Source organism: Homo sapiens, chromosome 16 (genome assembly GCF_000001405.40).
Source record: "Homo sapiens chromosome 16, GRCh38.p14 Primary Assembly".
NCBI lineage: Eukaryota > Metazoa > Chordata > Mammalia > Primates > Hominidae > Homo > Homo sapiens.
Window position 1 is genome coordinate 49,551,195 of NC_000016.10, and position 23,582 is coordinate 49,574,776.

Genomic DNA, 23,582 nt, shown 5'->3' on the forward strand with positions numbered 1-23,582 from the left:
GACAAAATGTTTTTGCAACTAAGAAAACAGCATTTCTTGGCTATTTTAATTTTCACAGATTCAACCTCAGTTCCAACATCCAACGCTCCGCTTTTCTGCCAAAAAGTTTCAAAAGCCTCCATTGGAGATTTTTGCAAGGTGCAAGGAATTGGTTCCTATCAGCATCTCAAAACACAATTCCATCCCCCCTCCCAAAATACACACACATCAGCTTCTTCAAGAGACACATTCTAAGTACCCAGGATACGGTCTTTTTATTTTTATGGTCTAAGCAGAATCAATTCCAAGGACTAGAAAAACAATCCCTCAGTGAGAACCTATTCAGTGACACTCCCAGGAGGTCCCGAGGCCAAACTAGTAGCTCTGTCTCCTTGGCAGCATGGGGGCAAAGGACAAACCAGGCGGGAGGTGGGTCAGACCTGCACCTGCTGCAAAACACGCAGGGTGCATGGAAGCTGGGATCCAGAGAGGAGGATTGCTTAGAAAAGGCCTCCTTTCCTCCCAGGAAGGGTGAGGAGACCCTCGGGGGCACAGCTGAGCCAGAGTGGGTGGGGGCTGGAAGACAAGGAGCTGGAAGGGACACCGAAAACGGGCCCCTCAAGTCTGTGGCTGGGACAAGTGGAACAGCCAGGAAGGCATCTGACATGGATGGAAGTCAAGGTGTTTGGACACCTGGACCAAGAGAGTGGCCTCCCACTTGTACACTGTGCAAGTCCTGTACCATCTTCCAACTCAAATCTGTGGTTCTGTTTTAGGGCCACATGGGTGTGTGTGCATGCACTCATGCGCTTTGTCATTAGTTGCCAACATTTAAAATACAAGAAATTTGTATTAAAATATGGGCTTTTGGCTTCTCTTGAAAACTCAGAACATCTGGACTCTCCCAGATGCAATTGCCTGGGCAGCCATGGAAGGGGTGTGGGCTCTCTGCAGGGTCTGCATAACCCTCACTGTCCCACGTGCAGCTGTTGCACCAACTTATGTTAATGCTTGGCCCCCATAGACACAGAGTTGATGACCCTTGAACTAGGAGACCAGGGTACCAGCTCCCTCTGCCACTGACTCACTGTGTGACCTTGGGCAAGCTCCTGCCCCTTTCTGAGCCTCAGTAAAAACTGTGCAATGAGGAGGGTAGAAATCAACTCTCTTATACTTGATGCCTCCCTGATGCAATTTTAGGCCCCTACAAATAGGGGGTGGGCCAGGAGCAATTTTCCTGGTGAGAAGACAGGGTGGAGGGGGGCAAGGGGCCAGCGCAGCCCCTGCAGCTGTCCCCAAGGATGTGCTGACGCCACTACTCCAGCTTGATATGAATATTGTGTCAGAGATTGGAGATATTAAGAATGACAATGCATTATTACTGCAGAGGGAAATCTCGGGAGTCCTAGAGATAGGATTTCTAAATCCTCAGCCAAAAATCAATAGTAATGCCCAAGAATTTATAAAAGAAGCACGTCAGTCTGCATTTGAGATGACACACTTTCGGTTTCCAGCTAAACCAAAGGGACAAGTGCAAGCGTGTCATTCAGGAAGGGCAAGAAGCAAAAGGCAAAAACCTCACACAGGGTCCTGCCTGGGTGATGGAAGGCAGCTTGTAGGCTCTTGCTCAGAGGCCGGGCCATGATCCCAAAAGGCAAGCAGAGGAACCAGCGGTGCTCCCCAAGGGCCCCCACCCCTCCAGGAGGGGATGGGGATGCAGAAGAGACCCGACCCCACCTGGACCCGCTCTACCCTGGAAACCAGCATTTATGGTGCAAGCAAGAACAAACAGGAGGCCCAGGGCAGAGTCACCAGCAGGGCTATTCTGGGCTGTAAAATGGGTACAGAAAAATGGCCCCAGCTTTCTCCTGGGATGCTGTAAAGATCAAATATTAATTTAAAAAAAATATCAAACAAGCTTTCTGGGGTGTTAAGATTCAACAGAGCACAGACTCTGAAGGCAGAAGGAGCTGGGCTCAAATCTGCATGAAGTCACTGGAAAAATGATAATAATAAGTCTTACCCTACACAGGGATGTTAGAAGGGTTAGAGGTACTACCTGTGCAGTATCTGGCAGAATACTGAGTTCTAATAATTACGACAGTTTCAATATTATGGTCATGATTAAAAATGTAAACATTATAATTTATATATATATATTTCTTTTCTTATATTTTATTTTTTTGAGACAGGCTCTTGGTCTTGCTCTGCCACATAGGCTGGAGTGCAATAATGCAATCATAGCTCACCGAAGCTTTGAAATCCTGGGTTCAAGAGCTCTTCCTGCCTCAGCCTCCCAAGTAACTGGGACTACAGGCATGCACCACCCCCACGGGCTATTTTTTTACTTTTTTGTAAAGGTGAGGTCTTGCTAGGTTGCCCAGGCTGGTCTCAAATGCCTAGGCTCAAGCAATCCTCTTACCTTAGCCTCTCTAAGTGCTGGGATTACAGGCATGTGTCGCCGAGCCTGGCCTATTTTTATTTTTTTTTAGATATGGGGTCTCACTCTGTTGCCCAGGCTGGAGTGCAGTGGCATGATCAATTTTATATGTATTTCTTAATAACAACCACTCTTAGTAGATTAGATGATAATTTTAAGTCTTTTTATGAAATAACGTCTTTCCCTGGCATAGGGCTCCCCTGTTTATAAGATTCTCTCATAACATTTTCATTAGGGTTGCTCAGAAGATGAAGTGAAAGATTCTCCATTAGATGGGGAACTGAAGCCCCCCAAAAGTGATATGACTGAACCAAACAAATTTGCCAAGTTAGCAACAGGAAGAGCAATGCCTCCAGCCCAACACAGTCCCGCCTTGGAGGCAGAGGGGACTCCCAACTGCCCCTCCAGTGCCCATTCCTTTGCTGGGCTTCATGGTCCCCCCACAACAATGATATCTTTTCTCTCCTGACACTGGCACTGGGCAGACTTAGAACAGGATGCATCCATGCTGGAGAGCCCCAGAGTCAAGCTTATCCAGCTCCCAACTTTACAGACCCCACACCTGAGGCCACAGCTCCAACTCCACATTCAAACCAGGAGTTTGAAGCATGCCTAAGGACTTCCTCCCTTCCCCAATCCTAGATCCTCAGGTAGTAACGCCGGGCATAGCAGCCCAGGGAGCAAGTGCACTAAGAATGAGCATTCTACCTCTACCCATTTGCCATAGCTCGGAGGCAAGACCCACACCACCTTCACAGCCCACCTTGGTGACCACACCTTGACCCAGGCCCCCAAATCCCAACTACCTCCTAAACAATCTGGCCGAACATCCTCTCCCTACTTTGTCCAGTCTAAACCATTTCAACAGGGTGCTCTAAATGCCAAGAATCGACTGGGCAGTGGGTGGTGAGCACCCAGGGTGTCTCCAGGACCAGTTGTTCTGAAAATGCCAACTCAATGTTCTCCATTTGTTTTCAGGGACTCATTACATTAATAGGCCCCTATGGTATCACTTTGGCTATTATAAATGGTGGTTCTTCTGCTTGACTGTGAGCTCTCTGATCTCCCTGAATTATTTTCAGTTGGCTTTTCTGATATGGAATCATTATATGATTATTGTAGGAAATTTGCAAAATACAAAAACAGATAAAGATCGCCCTTAATTCTACCCCTGTTAGAAACCCACTGTCAAGATTTTGGTCTGTTTCCCTCTGAAGATATAAATCTTACACGAGACCTTCAGGACAAAAGCACCTGGCACAGTGCCTGGTACACAGCTGGTGCTCGACACATGTAGCTTGAAGAAATCTGTAAGAACAATCAAAGAATGAGTGAATTTGGATGTAAAGTGCTTTAAAACAGCACTTTAAAATTAAGAGCTTGGTCAAGATGGAAACTGGGATGTAGACAACTCACCAAGGAGTATCATTTTCTTCTGTATTTCATGGGTTCATTTCATAATTAAATGTTAAAAAAAAATTAAGAGACCTCATGGACACATATTAAACACACCTACATCAAAAACTAGGATTTTTCCCCCTAAAACAAAAATAAAAACAAAATACACTGGTCATTCCTTAATGATCCTTAATGCCTATGTCAGTAGGTCCCTCCCACTCCAAAATCCTAGCCCTTGCCACAAGGAAGAAGCTGGGAAGGAACCTCTCCAGTCTATACCTGGAGCACCAGTAATTCAGTTCAGGCTGTGCAGGGTGGCATCCAGCCTACAGGCATCACTCAATAAACAGAGGCAACATTTACTGAGCCCTTACCATGCCAGGCACTGTGCTAAGCACTTTGTGTGTAGTATCTTATTTAATTTTGACAATGAGCTTCTGTTGTCCTCTGCTATTTTTTCCCATTTTGTAGACGAAAGGGTTAACACACGGGTTAAGTAGCTTTCCTAGGACATAATGCTAGTAAGTGTTGAAGGTAGGACATTAATTCAAGAAATCTGACTGCAGAATCCTTGCTTTTGATCCATACACTATAATGTCTCATGGATTATGAACAGATAGATGGATAGATGGTGGATGGGTAGATGGACATCTGGCAGGTGAATGTAACCATGGACAGGTGGATGGTAGATGGTAGATGGAAGAATGAATGAGTGGGCGGATGGAAGGATAAGTGTATGGGTGAATAAATAAATGGATGGAGGGATGGTGCATGGATGGATGGACAGATGAAATGAAGAGGTTGGTGAGATGGAGAGATGGATGTGTGGATGGATGGATTGATGGGATGAGGAGGTTGAAAGGATGGATAGATGGATGGGTGGATGTCAGGTGGATAATAGTCATGTGTCAGTCCAGATCTGCCTCCTTTCCTTAACCCAATGCCTCAGCACTGGAGCACACACAAGAAGATGATCCACAAGGCTGCTCCCATCAAAACTACAATAACATGAGAACCACAGACCTGCTTCCCTCCCATTGTACCTAGGAATTATTTCCACTCAACCCATCAAAGGGCTGAGTTTTCAAGCCCACAAGATCACTGGTCTCTTCCGACCTTCGGAGCTTTCCAACTGTGGACAGTAGAGAATTTAAAGGGCATCAGGTAAAGGCAAGCCACATACAGAAAGAGGCAGTCCATGCAGCTTGCCCAAAATACCTGCTCTCATGCTGAAGACTGACTTTGGTTTTGTTCACTTCCAAACATTCCCTGTGGCTCTCATCACTCTTCAAGTCAGAGCAGAAGTGCCCCCTCTTCTCCAAAGCCCTCCCTCTCACCCTAGGCAGAATCAGATGCCCCTTCTCAGAGCTCCCATACAGATTTTTCTATCCCAGCGTCTCTCACATTGATTTGCTAGCTGTCCTCTCCCATGGGACTATTCACGTGAGAGCGGAGATTTCTGCCCTATCAACTCGGAGGCCCCCACAGCCCCCAGTTCAGTACTTTGCACAGAGAGGAACTCAATAAATATGTGTGGAATTGATTCCAACATCCCAAACTGAGACCTCCACAGACTCTGCAGCCTCCCCCTACCCCTCTTGGCCACAAGTAAACAAGAGTTCAGCCACTGGGCTGCGGAATTTAGCCACCTGCAGTTACTTCTTTATCCACAAGAGAGCACAGTGTCTTGAAGCTCAGCACAAATTCTTTTGTAAATGCCTCGTGTACTTATAGAACACTGTATAACTCAAAAATTATAATTAAAATGTCTTAGCTCCTGTATTTATAGTAACATTTAAACTACTGTGCTTTCTTGAAGTCAGTCATTTACTTGAGAACAGCACACTTTACGGTGAACAGATCTTTGAAACAGTACCACGGGGATCTAGCCCAGGCACATGTAACTCAATATATGTCAACAGCTGTAAAAATATTGGTGGGAGAAGGCAGGAAAAAAACTATGAGCCCAGATCAAGTGCCCTGTCTCTCATATCTGACTGTTTTCAGCTGCTCCCTCCTCTTCCAAATAATTGGGCCATTTTGGTGCCCGCTGTCACACAAGGCGGGCCCTCTTTGAGGCTGGATGATCAAAAAGGTTATAAATGAAAATGATTTCGATGTTGGCGGCCTAGAGAGTGACCAGGGCGTGCAGGGCGGCAGAGGGGCTGTTCTAATCTTACCAACTGCACGCCGCCATCGGAGAGTATTCCTAGGGCGCGAGCAGCTCCCCAGGGTGAGGCCACGGTAAATTCTGCCTAATCCCTTCTGCATACAAATGAGCGCCTGGCAGGAGGAGGGAGGGGGGCAGACGCCGCAGCCCCTGCCCGCTCCTCCTCCCCGGGTTGGCTGTCTTGGCTGAACAAACAAGCCAGCGACAGTGGAGAGGGCTGCAGCCTGGGTGGAATGAGAAGGAGGAACTCCCGGGGCCACCAGGGCTAGGGGAATTACATGAGGGGATCCTAGGAGCAGGTGGCCCTGGGGCAGTGTTCTGACCCTCTGACCCCAGGGGGTGGTGGTGGGGACACGGGTGCTTGGGTGGAAAACGATGGCATGGCTGCAGGCCCCTGATATTGGCCCAGGTGAGAGAATGAAATGGCAGCAGAAGCAGCCTCTGGGCTGGGGCTGGAGGAGCTGCCAGGTGATGGGGCGGTTTGGGTGGGAATCTGTCCTTCTGAAGGCACAGCACTGAGTTCACAAAGATGCAGAAACTCATCTCCCATGAAGGCCTCAAGGATGGTAGAAGGCCTCCTCCCACCCACAGGATGAGCACGCAGGAGGCCCAGGAAAGGCCAGGAGGAAGAGCCTCCATCCTGAGCCCCCTTGGTTCCAGCCCTGCAAGGAAGTGATCAATTCAATTCTGGCAGCCAGATCTAGAGAAGGAGTCTGGGCCTGGGCACCTGGGGCCCCCAAAGCCAGAGAGGGCTGGCTCCAGAGGGGCTGAGCCTCAAACAGGGAAACAGCCCACAGAGGGGAAAAGACGAGGGTCCCACCACAGAGAGAGCCAACAGACAGCCGGACTGGAGCTACACAGTGTCATCCTGCAGTGCTGGAGGTTTCTGAAGCCAGTTTTGCTTGCAGAAAAACAGAGGCAAGGACTGTTTTTGAGATCAATTCTGAACCTGGTGGTTAACTCTCCAGGGCAGGCGTTCATAACTTGGACCTGTGGATGGAGCTTGTGGGGCCCCAGACCCCAGCAATGGTGGGCAGATTTCACAGGTGCACTGCATTTGATTGTCACAATCTCTGCACAGGGCTAAGGAGTGACTTAAATGAGTTAAATAAAGGATGCACAGCACTTAAACTCTGCTTGGCACACAAGCACCCCAGGAGCATTAGCTAGTATTAAGATGTTTACTTGTTGGGGGCAAGGAGAGAAAGTTCCATGGCATGAAAAAGGTGAGTTGCCCTGGCAAAGATCCTGGCCCCAGCCCTGGGTCACTTCCCAACTTGAAAGTGATGCAGGATAAGAGGAGTAGGCCCAGAAGTGGCTGTAGGGGCCCTCCCCAGTGTGCAGGAGAAATCATGTCCTTTGCTAAGTAATGGACCCATCAAGAGGCCCAGGTACCTGCACAGATATGCAAATCCACACAGCTCAAAAGCTAGCATCAGCCCAATTCTGCTAAGGGATCCACACACACCCACACACACGCACACACTTGTACATGCACACACATCCCACGTCCACATCTTCCATGAAATCAGCAGGAATTGCACATTTTGAGGACCCAATTAAGCTCAGTGTGTATTTGACAACCTTTCAACCTCCAGAAGACATTTATTTTTACAACACTCTCCAGCTGAGAAATTACTAGGTTTCTGCCCTTTCCTGAATAGTCTTGGCATTGGGAAGCACCAAGGTGTACCTGGAAGCGAGCGGGGTTTTGGGGGGGTCCCACCTGGAGGGGCCCAGCAATGACATCAGAACCACTCAGTAAGGGGGTCTCAGAGGCAGGGATGTCCGAGGTGGGGGCAAGTCCTGAGCTCCTTAGGGGCCACAGGGGCTTCCCTCAACCTTGGACATCCCTGGCCCAGGCTTGCCCCAGGCATGGCCTGAGTCAGCTGCCCCTTCCACCTTCTCACCATCCCCTGGACTCCTAAACACCACTCTGAAAGGCAGTTGTATGTCTGGGGTGGGGAGTACTCTCCATCTCATGGACAGAGAAAGCGAGTCCCAGAGAGGTCTACTGACTTATCTGTGGCTTGGCCACACAAAAGGGGCAAAGCCCTGGGATATTGCCACTTCCCGCTTTGTACTTTCCTACTCAGTACCAAAGGGGGTCAGGGAACAGGGTACAGTACGGGAAATAAAAAGAAAAACAGAAAAGCAAAGCCTTCTCTGCTAATGAGGTATGGTGGGCTGGAGCATCAGCATGGGGCCAGATGGCGAGAGATTTCCCCTAATCTTTCTAGGAGGCCCCAGGGAACATCCTCACCAGTCTCCATCCATCCCTGATGAAATTCCTCCAACTCTCTCCTGCTGCAGAATGAGTGGTTGGACCCAAACCTATCTCAACATCACTGACTTATCTCTGCCCCAAGAGGATGAATCTTCCCCCACTGAAAAGACCAGGACTTAATATCCTTGTCAAGGAAGAAGAGTTGATGACAACATGTTTTCCTGTGGGCGGTCTGCTCCTGATTCCTGGCTCTTTGGACCTTCGCCAAGCTCCATCTTTTGTGCATTTGAACCAAGGTCTACTGTCTACATCAGTATCATCAGGACATTGCTGGCCAATGTACCCAGATGCTAGAATTTCATGGGTATTTCATAGCAGGGTCCCATATTCACTAACATTTTCAAACAAAGATGAGTAAACTGAAGGCACGATCCCAGTCAAGAAAGCCCACAGATGTCCTCCCAAGAGAGGTGCAAACGGTACCACTGCTTGTAGATTTACCCAGCACACATCTATGATTTCAATGTTAGTCTCTCTTTGGTCTTTGGCTGTCTAAATGTCATGGTGACTTTGCCAGGGCAAAAGGTGTGCCCAGAAAATTGCCACCCTGTCACAGTAGCCTGAGAGCAGGGTACCGAGTAGAACATATGCTCTGTATGGCTTTGTTTGCACCTCTGATTCTGCTATCTCACAAGCAGCAGGTTGGCGATTAACAAAATAGCAATAGCATCGAAGCCGGTGACAACTGCCATCATCACGGCAGTGACGACAGCTGTCACCAGGAGCCAGTGAGCCTGCTCCTTCCCACCCCCAGAGTCCCCAAATAGGCAGGAGCTCTGAGCATTTTAGGGAAACTTGGCCAATCATTTCCGTGAATCTTTACTGCCTGGACAGATTAAACCCAGGCCCCAAGTGGCTCTCCCAGTTGACAATTTTTCTTTCAAAAAGGCCGAAGTTGCTGTGAGCCAAGTTCTTGCAGCCGAATTCCTGGACACAGTTTCCAACAATTCCAATCAGCCAGCTCTGCGGTTGGGCTGGGATTTCAAGCTTGCCACAGTATGAAGTCCAGTTTGGGCTATATTCCCTTCCCTCTCGCAGCATGATGAAGGTTTCCCCGCAAAATCAAAAGGCTTACTGTCAAGTTTTCGATTGGTCTGGGCTTCGTGCTATCGTGTGTGGTGTGGGAAGGAATATGAATGTGGTGCCGGCTCTACCATGGGGCCTTGAGGCCTCGTCCAAGCCATCCAGGGACCTTATGAAAGTGGAACGGAACTCTTTTCATGTATATTCCAACTGCTGAAATTCCCCAGACACGCCACAGTGTGCAAACTCGGTGTAAAAAGAACAATGGCTGGATAAAAACCGAGGCGAGTCGGCCGAGTACGCTGAAGACAAGCCAGTGTTGCTAATGCAAGGGAAGCCAAGCCTGGATTCTCCCCCTCCTTCTTCACCTCTTCTTTTCTTCTTTTCTTTTTTCCTTTAGCACGTGGAACTTAATGAAAATAAAGTCACCGTGTTTCCAGGGCAGGAGGCTGCTCTTTACTTGAATAAAATGTACATGCAAATTCACTAAAGGAGGCTGGCACTTGGGAAAACACAGAGATGATACTCAGGGCTCAAACTGATGGATAGCATTTATGTCTCCTTTCTTTTTTTCTTAAACCATAGAGATAATATGTGTCTGTCTATATGCACGTACATGTGCACATATAAAACAGGGCTGTGCTAGAGCCAGTTCATACTGACTCCTGAGAGCCAACTGTGCGTTTCTCTTCCCAACTCCAGATTCAGCGAAATGATATTGGTAGACTGAAATTGGCCCACAGTGGGAGTATTTACACCACAGAAATCGGCAAAGGCTACAAAATCAAAATTCTGTTTTTTATCGGACAGTGAGTTATTAAATATTTACCAACTATATTGTAACTACATCTACTTTACTGGGGGTATGTGTGTATATAGATGTATAGAGGCATATATAGATATATACACATATATATTACATATATGCACCAGATACACAGAATACAGATGACATGCACGTACTTTTAACCTTTGTATACTCCCCTTAATCCATAACCTCTCTTTATTCTTCGAAAGCAATATGAAAACCATGGATCTAAGTGAATCTGTATGCTTTTATCATAAAAAAGCATGAAAAACCAATCTGCTCTTCCAAAATATAAAAGCAATCACTAAATTGATTCCTTTTTTTGCCAGGCATTAACTTTCTCCTATTACTGCAAATTTGCTGCACTTGTATTTTCTTCCAGCCCCAGAATTAAACACACTTCTAATTTCTCACTTCAGGTGCATTAAGTGCGGTATAGGGCACAAATGAATAATTTTATTGATAATAAATTTTATAATCCATGCAGCACTTGCTGAAAAATGGATGTGTTCTGGATGCATTCTTTATTTCTCCTAATTTGAAGACGCCAGGATTGCGGTCGCCCTGCTCACTGAGCCTTTGGTAATTGCTGGCTATTTTCTACTGCTTTGAGGGCTGATTGACAATTCAGGCACGTGCTCTGCTTTACGGGGATAAATTACAATAACCAGTTTATCAGATTATTATTTTTATTAATTTAAGAGACTAGACAACAGTAGTGAGTGGCTTCTGTCTCCTGCAGACAGAATTTATCCTACTAGTTTAATGGTGCTGTGAGAAGCTGTAGACATAATATCTCACAAAAGGTAACATCCCTATATAGTCTCCCCAAATCACGCAAATAAAACATCAATAGGAAGAAACCATTATGGGAGAGTGGTCTGACTGCAGTTGAGAAGGGAGAAGCAGAGAAAAACACCAAAGAATTAGCTGGTTCTGAGCTTGCTTGGAAAGGATAATGGTTAGGACATCAGACAGGTCTCAGTCCCAGCCAGCTGAACTGGATCCGTGTGAGTCTTAAACAAATTAACTCTCTGACCCTTTATCATCATCTGTAAAATGGAGGCAAAATAACATCTGTCTCTTAGGACACAGGAGGATGGATGAGATCATGTAGGTAAAGTGCTTGGCGCAGTGCCTGGCCTGATACACACCCGATGGGTGGCAGCTGTTAACTGTTCTTGGGAGTCTATACTGAAGAAGCCAGGAAAGTATTTGTATCAGGTGAGAACCAACAAAAAAGTACAGTCTGGAAACTAGATCCACAAAAAGTTGTCTATGATTGATTGTAATGGGTGAGTTCCCCATCATGGGAGGCATTCAAGGAAAGCTGGGCATTTGTGGAAGAGATTCATGAACGGATTCTAGAATCAGACCAGATGATTTGAGGTTCTAGGATTCTTGTCAAACTATTCAAGATTATGGAAGAATTTGTCCAAATAGCCAACGTTCATTGGGTACTTAAATGCCCAGCATAGCTGTAAGCATTTTTTTTTTTGAGATGGAGTCTTGCTCTGTCGTCAGGCTGGAGTGCAGTGGCACAACCTCGGCTCACTGCAACCTCCACCTCCTGGGTTCAAGCGATTCTCCTGCCTCAGCCTCCCGAGTAGTTGGGACTACAGGCACGAAACGAGCCACCAAGCCCAGCTAATTTTTTTGCATTTTTAGTAGAGATGGGGTTTCACCATGTGGCCAGGATGGTCTTGATCTCCTGACCTCATGATCCACCCACCTTGGCCTCCCAAAGTGCTGGAATTACAGGCATGAGCCACCGCGCCCACACAGCCAGCTGTACGCATTTTACATGTCACTATAGTTTGGATGTTTGACCTCTCTAAATCTCATGTTCAAATCTAATCCCCAGTGTGGTCGTGTTGGGAGCTGGGATCCAGTGGGAGGTGTTTGGATCACAGGGGAAGGAGCGTGAGTGAGTTCTTGTTCTGTTAGTTCCCATAGAGCTGATTGTTAAAAACAGCCTGGCACCTCCCCCCTCCCTCTTGCTCCCTCTCTTGTCACATGACCTCTGCACATGCTAGCTCTCTTCCCTCTTATCCTATGAGTGGAAGCAGCCTGAGGCCCTCCCCAGATGCTGGTGCCATGCTTCTTCTACAGCCTGTAGAACTGGGAGCCAAATAAACCTCTTTATAAATCACCCAGCCTCGGGTATTCCTTCACAGCAACACACAAGGTCTAAGACAAACGATATCTCACTTAATCTTCACAACAACTCTCTGAGAGAGATGCTGTCATTATCTTGATTTTATAGTCAAGGAAAGTGGGGCAGCCTGTCCAAAGTCATAGAGCCAGGAAGGGGCAGAGCCCAGACTCAAACCAAGGTGGTCTGCCTCCCAGAGCCACGTCTTTGGCCTCTAGGCCTGTCGGCACCATCCCAACCACACCCTTGGACCAGGCCAATGGCATCCACCTGCACCTCTCCCTCACCCCCTGAGACCCCTCCCCATGGCCTGCTACTGAAACATACACATCCCACTGGTATGGCCAGCTCAGGAATCCAAGAAAACATCTGTGACCTGATTGCTCATCAGGCAAGAAACCACGAGAATTCCATGTCTGCTCAAGAGCCTCCAATCATGCCACCAATGGGCAGAGCTTATTTCCCACCATCTGATGGGCCAAGGTCATGCACAGCAGCTTTGGAAGCCAGGCCTCTTCCCAACATAAGACTGCCACAGTTGATGTGTGATACCAGCAGGCTCTTTGCCTAGGTTTGTGTTTCCTTGATGACCAACTGCACCTGATGCTTAGAGCCACATCTGCAGCTGATGGACTGCACAGTAGCCTGCCCAATGGCCTGCCCGAGTGAGGACACAGCAAATTGTTAAATGGATAGATTTGCTATAGATGTACCACAAACGCCACTGCCACTGAATTATGGCCATATATTGTACTATTTATAATCGCAATGTAGTTAAGTTGGATTTATTCCTTTTTTCAGCAAAGACTCACCTGACCCTTAAAACAGGAAGTATTTTGCTTATTGCAAAAATAAGTACATATCAAAAAAAAAAGAATATTTCCAGATCTCTCTTTTGGCATGCTGGCTAAGGATGGGGGTGTGCTAGATATGCTCTCAAGTAGCATCTGTGACAATGGGAAGGAACCCCTTCTGTGGCCTTGAGTCAGACTCAGGGGCCAGGACCCAATCCCTGCCAAGAGCCTTTCTCAACACAAGAGAAGACATCCCTTAAACATATGAAATCAAAACAGCCCCCATGTTGTAGCCAGGGGAAAGCGAAGGACAGCTGGCAGCAGGTGGCTCTACAGAGAAATTTCCCAGGACAAAAGTAGATCTGTGCAGCTCCCCAGATCCAAGAATCACCCTACCATTTCAGCCAGGGGGGCCTGAGCATGGTGTGGTGGCACTGAGCTCCTGGAGCCTTTGGAAGTAGTGTGGAAACACCCAGATGTCCTTATTCACCCAACTCCCAAGACAGATGCCTGGAGCAAGGCACAAGGAGGGGGTGCTGTGCCCAGCCCTTGGTCCCCCGCCAGCAACAGCCTGTTTGTTCCCTGGCCCCAGAAATCACAGCTCTGTACAAAGTTCCTGGTCTGGGCAGGACACCTCCACCAATCTCCTCCTCGTCCTCATCTTCTAAATTCCCGGCATTCCACGGGTCCCTCTCCCCACTCTCCTGATTAACAGCCGGCCACCTCATTTAGAAAGCTAACTTTTCTCAGAGTTCCATCCTGTTCTTGAGGTTTCGGTTGGAAACTTGGCCTAGATGACAGCTGTGTGGGCCTCTCCCCAGCTCGACCCAGCAGGAGTTCTAATACACTTCATTCTGGGGCTGGTTGCTGCTTTTAATCTATCAGCACGGCGCCGCAGCTGCTGTAAGCTAGCTGAAAATTGTCTGCATACGGGCGAACCATTTGTAACCCTTTTCAGTGCAAACCCACACTTCGGCAGAAATGCACTGTCCAGCTCTCCCACACCTACGAAACACGTGGGCCCAGAGTGGCCAAGATCTTCCCTTAAACCAAGAGGTTCCCCACCCGAACAACCAGGAAACTTTCAAAAAGCCTGAATACATTATTGGCTTGGAAATTTCACTCTCCTGACCCAACTTCTCATCCCAAGGAAAGCCAAAAGGCTTCTTCAAAAGCTCAAGCCTGAGCGCCAGAGCACCATCGGCCCCTCTCACTAGGGCTCTGCCCAGGACTCCTCTGCCACTTCCCTTTGATTCTCAGTAAGAGAAAGGGGCTTTTCTCCCCTAAGGAAGCAGGCTCAGCTTTGTGGAAGCCCTCCCACGTGCTGCCCACCCTCAGAACCAACGAGGACCTGGCTCAAGGCAACACCACCTGATTCTCAAATCTGCTGGTGCCATCAACTCAAAGGGTCTCTAGTCGATCTACTCAGCAACATCAGACCCATCGGGGCTCCGTGAACAGGGGAGGGCAGGAGTTGAAATGCTTGCCAAATATTAATAGTTACAGTTCTTACACAACAGCCAGTACCCTTCAGGCATCCAACACAATTTTAGATGTCAATAGGGAAAGAGAGAAAGGAAGAAAAGTAGGAAAATAAAATGGAAAAGATAAGGATGGAAGGAGAGAATGGAGAGGAGAGGGGGAGGGTTAAGAAAGGGAGAGGAAGGGAGGGGAGAGAAAGGGAGGGGAGGGGTGATAGGAACAAGGTGGGTGCTCCCATCAGAAAGCACCATCTATCCATCCATCAATCTATCCTTCCTTCCTTCCTTCCATCCATCCTTAACCTGTCTTTGCAAACCCCCTGGTGGTCAGTGGTAGGAGGCCTGGTCTAACCCCACTTCCAGTGGAGACATTCAGAGGAGAAGTTGACTCCTTACCCCCAGACTTCCATCACCAGCGGAGGAGACAGGCTTCCTGGCTTCTCCACCTGCTACAGAGGCCCCCAAACAGCACTCATAGCCACCTCTGCTGCCCAGTGGGGAGAGAGGCCTGGAGAGGGTCCTTCCTCTTCTACCACTCAAAGAAGGCCCATGGCTCCTCCCAACCTGGCTCACTGGTCATTAGATTTCTCTGCTTACAGAGCAGCACCCATAAAAGTCTGGGTCACCCAACTGGGGCAGGACTCACACCCTGCTCCTGGAGCAGATGGGTGCAGCCTGCCTAGACTCTCACCCCACCTGCAGCCCAGCCCCAGCACTGGCTGGGAGAGGAGGGGCTATGAAAGACTCCATGGCCCAAAGAAAAGAAGGGCTGCAGGAGGCCTCTGGGGAGGGATGTGGAGCTGTGTGGTGGGGGAGGCCACCTCCCAAAATGAGTCCAACTAAAAAATCCAGTCTTCCCTCAGAATTGATACGGCAGCAGCTGTATCTCTTTCATTTGAGTAATTATCATATAATTAAGTGCATGAATTACAAGAGAGCCAAGGCATTAAATTAAAATATTTAATGCTTGTAAATCTGAAAATGATTACTGTGCTGATGCGCAGCCAGTGAGAAGGGAGACTAATGGCTTGGCGGGCAGCGCGGGGAGGTGGTGGCAGCCTCGAGCTTCACCCCAGAAGTTAGAGAAGGGGAGGGGAAGAGGGTGTCAGGGAATTTTGGGGAGGGGGTCAGCAGCAACCTTGAGACAGGGTAGCCTGAGCAGAAAACTCACAGCTGATTCTCTGAGTAGGGAGAGCCATTTGTCCTAAAATGAGAGCCATGTGTTCCTAAGCTGCCAGCAACAATAGCACAGAAGAGGGGTAAGACGGGGTCCTCTCACTGGGACTCTCATTGGGACAGAAAGGAATGGGCCCAAATTGATGACATCACTCGCGAATTAAGTTTTACCCCTCACAAAGTGTTCATGTTCCTGTGTGGACAAATAAGGAATTCAAGGCACAGAAAGGAACAGAGACTTGCCAAAGATCACAAGGCAAGTTGCAAGCAGGGCTGAGGCTAGGACTAGGGACTCTGACAAACTGAACCTCCCCACCTGTGAAGCTGTGATGAGCTAGCTCACCCAGCTTTAGCTGGCTTTGATGTGACCCAGGATGGCATTAGCTGATCCTTTCATTTCCCAAGCCAACCTCTCTCCCTCTCAGGACAAAAGGGAGATACAAAGCTGCCACTGCGATGCTCCCATGATGCTGACGCACAGCTCCACAATGTGGAAACAGGGGTGAGCTTTGGGTTTCTGTCCAGAAAACACTATGCGCTGCCCAGATAGAATCAGGCTAGACAGACCCCAGAAGGGTTCAAAAGAAAAAGGTCTCCCAGTCAGACCCAGCCCTGCCATCTCGGTCGCCGTTCATGCTGGCCAACCAGGAATCGGACAACAAGCGGCCTTAACAAAAGCTCCCATTCCCACCCTGAAATGCACTCACCAGGGAAAAGGGAAGGCATTGAAAAGAGCCCAGCCCCAGTAGGGAGGATGCAAATAGCCGTCCAGTGCAGGTGCAAGGAAATTAGGTGCATGAGATGTCAAGAGAGGCTAGGGCCTCCTCTGCCCATGTGGCCTCCACCAGGTGTGGCCATTCCTTGGCCCAGAAGACCCTCCCTTCCCATGGACCCAGCCCTCTCTGATGGCCAGCTCCTGACATTCCACTTGACAGGGTGGACCCAGCTCTAAGTACTCATTCCACTCATTCCTGGAGGGGAGAGCCGGCCTATACTCCTCCGGAAGTGGACCTTGTTTTTATTCCCGCCAGCATCCATTCTCCCTCCTTTTGGGAACAATGACCCAAGAGTCTTTTGGGGAACCACCATCAGAGAATAATGGCACTCCTGAATCATAGGTGAGCATGTGATTCAGGCCTGGCCAATTAGTGTATTCCATGTCTCTGGATAAAGAGACTGGGTCAGGGATGAGCATGTGACTAAGGCCTGGCCAATGAGTGTATGCCATGCCTCTGGATAAAGTGATTGGTTAAAAGATGAACATGTGACCAGGCCTGGCCAATCAGAGCCAATTGTAAGAATTTTCTGGTATTATGGAGGTTAAAGGACTCTCCTGTCATGGAACACCATGGAACTGCCAGCTAAGGGGGTAGGATGTGGGCCTGGAGGGGCTGGTGGCCATTTTCCGTACCATACTGCAAGGGTTTTGGCAGAGAGGGAGGCTAATAGAGAAAAGGAGGACCAACAGCTGGAGACACAGAGGGCAGGGCTGGGCCTGTTGCACCTTAAGAAGCCCTAGTTTCAGCAGCAGTGAGCCCTTCCCCTTGTTCCCTAGACCAGCTGGAGGCAGGGTTCCAGCTCTTGCAACTCAAAAAACCTCTGACAAGGCATACAAGGTATGTATGCCTCCTAAATCTTCAGTGCCTCCCATGGAGGGCTTTTGTCCCTTTTTGTCCCTCTGTCTGTCTCCCTTCCTGCCTCCGCCTGCTCTCCTGCCCCACAGTATTAGTACATCGATGGTCTGAACAAATGAATGAATGAATGACAAATGCTGTCTGCGCAAGCCTTTGGGTCCAGTGAGGGCTCCCCAATCTCTCCCACACCCATTCCTATTCACTAAAATTCACAGCCCACCCAAATCTGTGGAATAGCTGGTGTTGGATGTCACTCTGCTTGAGCCACTGTTGGCTGCAGGCCTCTTGTCCCAGCACACACGGGGAGCTCCTTGAATGCAGGAACCTTCTCACATCCTCCTCGTCTGCTCCCCAAAGCTGGTCCCAGGGCCTTCCCACCGCCAGACCTTTAACTCTTCATGTCTCTACTGTGTGAAATGACTCCATCCCTCCTTCAGGAGTCAGATTAGACCCCACCAGCCCCTTCTAGTAAGGTTTCCCAGAACAACATCCCTCCGAGGAAAACCCCCGCCTCTAAAGAACTCTAGCACCTACTGCGCATGCCACTGGTGACCAATCCTGTTTTCTCCACAATCTACCCTCTCCTTTCCACCTCTGCTACCAGCATCCTTCTTCAGGCCGCTATCTTTTCCCTCCTGGATGACAAAATCCTTCTAACCAGTTTCCCCCCTTCCAGGGAGGATGAGCCTGTCCTATCACCTCACTCAACCCAGAATGAGCTTTTCATGGACTCCTGGAGAAGGCAATTCCTAAGGGTCAGAATGCCCCATGGGGGTCAACATACGAATCCTCCAAGACTTCTGGATAATCCACTGAGACTGCAGATATGAAAGTCTGCACAGAGCAGATGCCCAGTTAGGGTCAGGGTTGGGAGGTGTGTTTTCCTGAGTGGCAGCATGGCAGAGTGAAAAGAGAGCCGTTTTGGGGTCCCATAGGCTTGGGTACAAATCCTAGCCCTGTAACGTCCTGGCTGCCTATATGGCCTCAGCTAGATTACTTTAAGAGCCTCAGTTTCCTCCTCTGGATGATGAAAGTAACAGCAGGCTTGTTGCAACAGCCATGGAGAATGGATGTTAAGCACCTCCTCTGGGCCTTCCACTGTCACATGGTAGGCACTTGATAAATGGGCACTGCTATTAGTCTGGGGCTGGTTGTGTGGTGTATCCCTAGCCTAAGTAGTGGAGTGCCCGTGGAAAAAAAGACTGGCAGCTTAAACGGGCCATTCTTTAAATAAATGAATAACAAAATTGACATGTATTGGGAGTTTTACTATGTGTCAGGCACTGTAAGTGCTTTCCATTTGTTAAATTCATTTAATCCTCACAGCAGCCTAGGAGGTCAGTAATAATTAGTGATATCCCATTTTACAGAGGAGGAAATTGATGTGGCAGGGGCGTAAGCAACTTGCCCAGGGAATTCAGAGCTGCTAAAGGAGGTGCTGAACTAGCACTTGAAGCCATCTGAGGTCTGCATTCTGACCCTCCTCACCTATGGAGCCTGCCTGCTCTGAGCTATGGACTATGGCTGTTAAACAAAATGAAATAGGAGAGTCCTTATCCCTGCTCCCAGAAACTCACAAATGACACTGGCACACTCGTGAGATGCATTTGGTAGAAAAAGGACTTCTAATCTGGCTCTGACTGACGGAGCATAAATCATCCAGCCTCAATGCACCCCCATGCCATCGTGACCCTTTAGTGAAGGCCTGCTTTGTGCATGGAACTGTAACAGGCAGGCTCTTTCTTTCATTATCTCATTGAACTCTCATGGCAACCATGTGAGATGGGTGTTACCATCCCCATTTTACAGATAAGAAGGCTGAGGCTCAGAGAGGTTAATTGCACCATGGCCACAGAGCACCACAGAGCTAAAAATTAAAGCCCATAATGGTTCCAATAAATCAAGCTATCTTCATTTATATGGTGAGTTGGGGGGTATTTATTTAATTCTTTTTCTTCCTCTCCCTCATTTTTAGCTCGTAGGGAGTCAAGAGAGGTGCCTCCTAATGAAGAATGAAACAGTTTGCTATAATTTGCTCCAAAACAGTATGCTTAATTACCACAACCTCTTCCCCAACCAAACCACTTAATTGAATTCAGATAGCATGTTTGATGTTATATATAATATTTGGCAACTTGGCCCTCTTTGGGGAGTGTATTGATTGAGGAGGAAAACAGATGTTCTGGAAGATGTTTCCAGATCATAGCTGGACCAGACGGCTCTGGAGTTTAAAAGATTACAGAAGTGCAAAGAGAGTCGTGATACCAGGGGCCAGAGGCCAGGGCAGCCTCCATCCCATCACTCACCAGAAGGCCACCCCCAGCACAAGTGTGTCAGCAGAGGTCTCTAGGGCCCCATTGCCACCCTCCTCCAGGTCCTGCCCGTGTGCTGGGGTAGAGCAGGCAGGAGGGTCAAAGGCATGGCCATGCATGGCCTCCTGAGCTAACAGGAAAAGAGCAGGAGGGCTGGATGGACAGACAGATAGTATCCCTGGTCTGGAGAAGGCCTAACTGGAAGAGTCATTGGCCAGGCTTTTCCAACAAGGTGCTGAGCCTTCTTGATTTGCTTGGGTTTTTTGGTTTATCCAACAAGAATTTGCTAGGCATCTATAGTGTGCCGTCCATTTATTCATTCAATAAATATCTACTAAGCACCTACCTTGTATCTTTTTTTTTAATCCATTTATTCATTCATTCAAAAAACAAGCATCAAATGTTTACTGTGCATAAAGCCTCAGGTCTGGGTGGTGCCTGCCCACCAGGAGCTCCCAGTCCAGCCAGGGAGGAAGATATTCACCAACTGTACACACGAGTCACCACCTAACTGCAGCCTGAGAGATGGATGCCCAGGAGGGTAGACAAAGGGGCAGCTGCTCCGAGGGCATCAGGCCTGTGTCTTGGCAGGTCTGACACGTGGAGCGCAAGTCCCAGAAGAGGAACAGCATGCACAAAGGCCTGTGGCTGGAATGCAGAGTGAGGGGCAAGTGTCAGATGGAGGGGAGGGGAGGATGGGGGTGTCTGACCACTCTACAGAGACTTGTGGCCTACACTGAGGGTCTCTACCTAAGGACAATGGGAGCGACTGAAGGCTCCAGACAGGGAGACACATTCAGAAGGCCACTTCCAGTTCACCATAGAGAACAGATGAGTGGTTGGGAGCGTAGAATAGACCAGAAGAGCAGAGAGGATGCAGGTTCTGACTGCAAGTTCAGAAGTGAAATGCACAGCCCCTCCCCACTCGAACCCATAGGTCACTCCAAAACAGGGACAAGGGAACAGGCAGCTGCCCTCCTAGATGACCAACACTGCAGAGGGCAAGTTGGGTTTTGAATTTTTACTATTATTCTTGCTTTCTTTGCTCCATATTTATTTTGAAATTACAAACATTAAAGGAGAAGGTAAATATTTTCATTCATTCTTCCATCCAAAAAATACTGATTGAGCACCTACTATGTGCCAAGCACCGTGTGTACTAAGGGGCAAACAACATTCAAGGCCTTTTAACCCAACAGTCAGACCCCAGTAGCCCTTTCTACACCATCTTAGACACATGTAACTAAGTCCTGAACTGCCGGGTTCAGAAACAGCACCTACTATGTGTCAGGCACTGGACAGTGACCTGGAGTGGAGACAACACAGACCTGCAGCTGCCTGAAATCTGCTATGAGCAGGAGACTTGCAAACAGGAGCCAGAAACATGACAATTCCCTCGGCAGAGGGAACGTCCCATCCCAGTGGGACACAAGGACAGACCCCATGAGTAAAAGGAGGGAGAGGCATTGGAGCAGGACCACAGAGAGTGGGAAGGATTTTAACTGGGGGGAGTGAGGCACATGAGGTGAAGGTGTTTTCCGCAGGAGATGGCATGCACAAAAGCATGAAGCCAAAGCACATGCCAAAAACAGTCTGGAAACCAAATCACCCACTCTGGCTGCAGCACAAATTGGAAACCAAAGGGCCGTAACATTGATACCTAGACTGGGCCAAGCACAGAGAGCATAAGATAGCTGAGCAAAACAGTGGGCTTCTTTCTACAGGCACTGAGGAGCCCACTGGAGTCTTTGAGAAGTGGCATGATCAAGTGTGGTACTTCCAGATTGTGAGTAACGGCACGAGTTGGGAAAGGCTGCTTGTGGGGAGACCAGCTGACACGCCACTACCATAGCTCAAGGAACTGTGAGGAAGGTGTGGATGGAGCAGGTGGTGGTGCTACAAAGGACGAGAACATGAGGCCTCCCACAGTGCACACTGGAGAGGGATGCTGGCAATGGGAGGAATGGAAGAGCAGGTCCTAGGCAGAGCTGTGGAGAGACTCAACTGTTGTCATAATCCTGGCTCAATAGTCTCTTACAGAACTCATGTGACCAACTCATGTGACCTGGGTTAACTTAGGTTTCTACTGGTTGAGAATGATATGGAGTGCATAGTACATGTAGGCTCTCCATAAGGGAGAGCGGGAAGGTTTGGCTAACTAGTGGACAGGTAGATGGATGAATGGGTGCGGAGTGAATAAGCAAATGGGCGAGTGAATGGTGACTTAAATATTTGGATGGATATATGAACATGTGGACGATGGATGATGGGTGGATGAATGGACTGATGGAAGGTAGAAGTGGGTAGAGGAGTAAATGGATACATGGATGGACCAGTGGATGCATGGATGTGTGGATGGACTGATGTATGTCCTGCAGTAACTCCCAGCAGAACATGTCTAGAGGATGCTGGGAGACTCCAGGCCAGTGAATATATTCTGGGTTTATAAACCATGGGGTATCTCCTTGGCTTACCTAATCACTTCCAATTGAAACCTCTTCTCTCCCAGCTCCATTGTCTTACTCCATTTTCTGTTGCTATAACAGAATGCCACAGACAAGTAATTTATCAAGAAAATAAGTTTATTTAGCTCATGATTCTGGAGGCTGCAAAGTCCAAGAGCACAGAGACGACATCTGGAGAGAGCCTCCTTGCTATGTTGTAATGTGGCACAGGGCATCACATGGCAAGAGGACAAGTGTGTGCCTGTCTACTCAGGTCTCTCCTCTTCTGGTAAAGCCACCAGTTCCATCATCTGGGCCTACCCTGATGACATTATCTAATCCTAATTACCTCCCAAAGGCCCCACCTCCAAATGACTCAACATACGGATTTTGGGATTAAATCTCCAACACATGAAATTTGGGGGACACATTCAAACCATTGCATCCATCCTCTGCATTCAGAAAGATAGTCCAACAGAAAGATCTGGAATCAAGAGACCCAGCTGATTACCAATTCCAGTTTTGCTCTGATGTGCTGAATGACCTTAGACAAGCCCCTTCCCCTCTCTGGGCTTCTCTTTGCTATCCAGTTCAATGAAGGAATAGGACTAGATCAGGGATGCGTACATGTGGTGAGCCTGCTGATCATCCCCACGCCTTCATCCATACCTCACAGCAAGCCGTACCAATCTCTAAGGAATCACTGCACGGCTGAGCCCCATTTGCCAGGTGATCTTTAAGGAAAGTGGTTCTCAAACTTTAGTGAATCAGAATCAGCTGGAGAGTCTTTTAAAACAAAGATTACAGGCTGGGTGCAATGGTTCACACCTGTAATCCCAGCTCTTTGGGAGGCTGAGGCGGGAGGACTGCTTGAGGTCAGGAGTTCAAGACCAGCCTGGGCCACATAGTGGGACCCGCTGTCTACACAAAATTTTAAAAATTAGCCATGCATGGTGGTACATGCCTGTGGTCCCAGCTAATCAGGAAGCTGAGGCACGAGGATCACTTGAGCCAGGAGTTTGAGGCTGCAGTGAGCTATGATAGCACCACAGCACTCCAGTGACAGAGCAAGATCCTGTCTCTAAAAAGACAAAACACTGATTGCCAGTCCTCACCCAGAGTTTCTGATTCAGCAGTTGTATGTGGGGCTGGGAATTTGCATTTCTAGCAAGCTCTCAGGTGATGCTGCTGCTGATGCTGATGCTGCTGGTCCTTGGACTCTACTTGGAGAACCACTGATCTAGTGACCCCTGCTCTGAGAGTCTTGGTGAAACCTAGTAGGTATCCCCATGTGGGGGACAGCTTGCCATACCTAAGACTGGAAGCCTGCTGGAGCCACTGTTGCCTCCTGTCATTCAAAGGCATCCTTGAACCCAATGACAGGGGCACTCTCCGCCTACAGCCAGCTGCACTCCAGGTCGTGCATCCCACCTCGCCCTGCCCTGCTCCCTCCTGCTTTCCCTCTCTCCTGGAGCCTGGGA

At 48.5% G+C, this 23,582-nt stretch overlaps 1 protein-coding gene across 15 annotated transcripts in view, besides 3 other annotated features; it reads right to left on the reverse strand.

The window, feature by feature from the left end:
• The window catches only part of ZNF423 (zinc finger protein 423), a 371,756-nt gene that overhangs the window by 63,671 nt on the left and 284,503 nt on the right, over positions 1-23,582 (reverse strand). The window lies entirely within an intron of this gene.
• Positions 6,322-7,209: an enhancer, noted in NCBI's record as "H3K27ac-H3K4me1 hESC enhancer chr16:49591427-49592314 (GRCh37/hg19 assembly coordinates)". NCBI's record gives its function as "activates a minimal SCP1, AML or CMV promoter by ChIP-STARR-seq in primed H9 embryonic stem cells {active_cell/tissue: H9 hESC(primed)}" and the evidence as "EXISTENCE:reporter gene assay evidence [ECO:0000049][PMID:30033119]".
• Positions 17,047-17,547: an enhancer, noted in NCBI's record as "H3K27ac hESC enhancer chr16:49602152-49602652 (GRCh37/hg19 assembly coordinates)". NCBI's record gives its function as "activates a minimal SCP1, AML or CMV promoter by ChIP-STARR-seq in primed H9 embryonic stem cells {active_cell/tissue: H9 hESC(primed)}" and the evidence as "EXISTENCE:reporter gene assay evidence [ECO:0000049][PMID:30033119]".
• Positions 17,548-18,048: an enhancer, noted in NCBI's record as "H3K27ac hESC enhancer chr16:49602653-49603153 (GRCh37/hg19 assembly coordinates)". NCBI's record gives its function as "activates a minimal SCP1, AML or CMV promoter by ChIP-STARR-seq in primed H9 embryonic stem cells {active_cell/tissue: H9 hESC(primed)}" and the evidence as "EXISTENCE:reporter gene assay evidence [ECO:0000049][PMID:30033119]".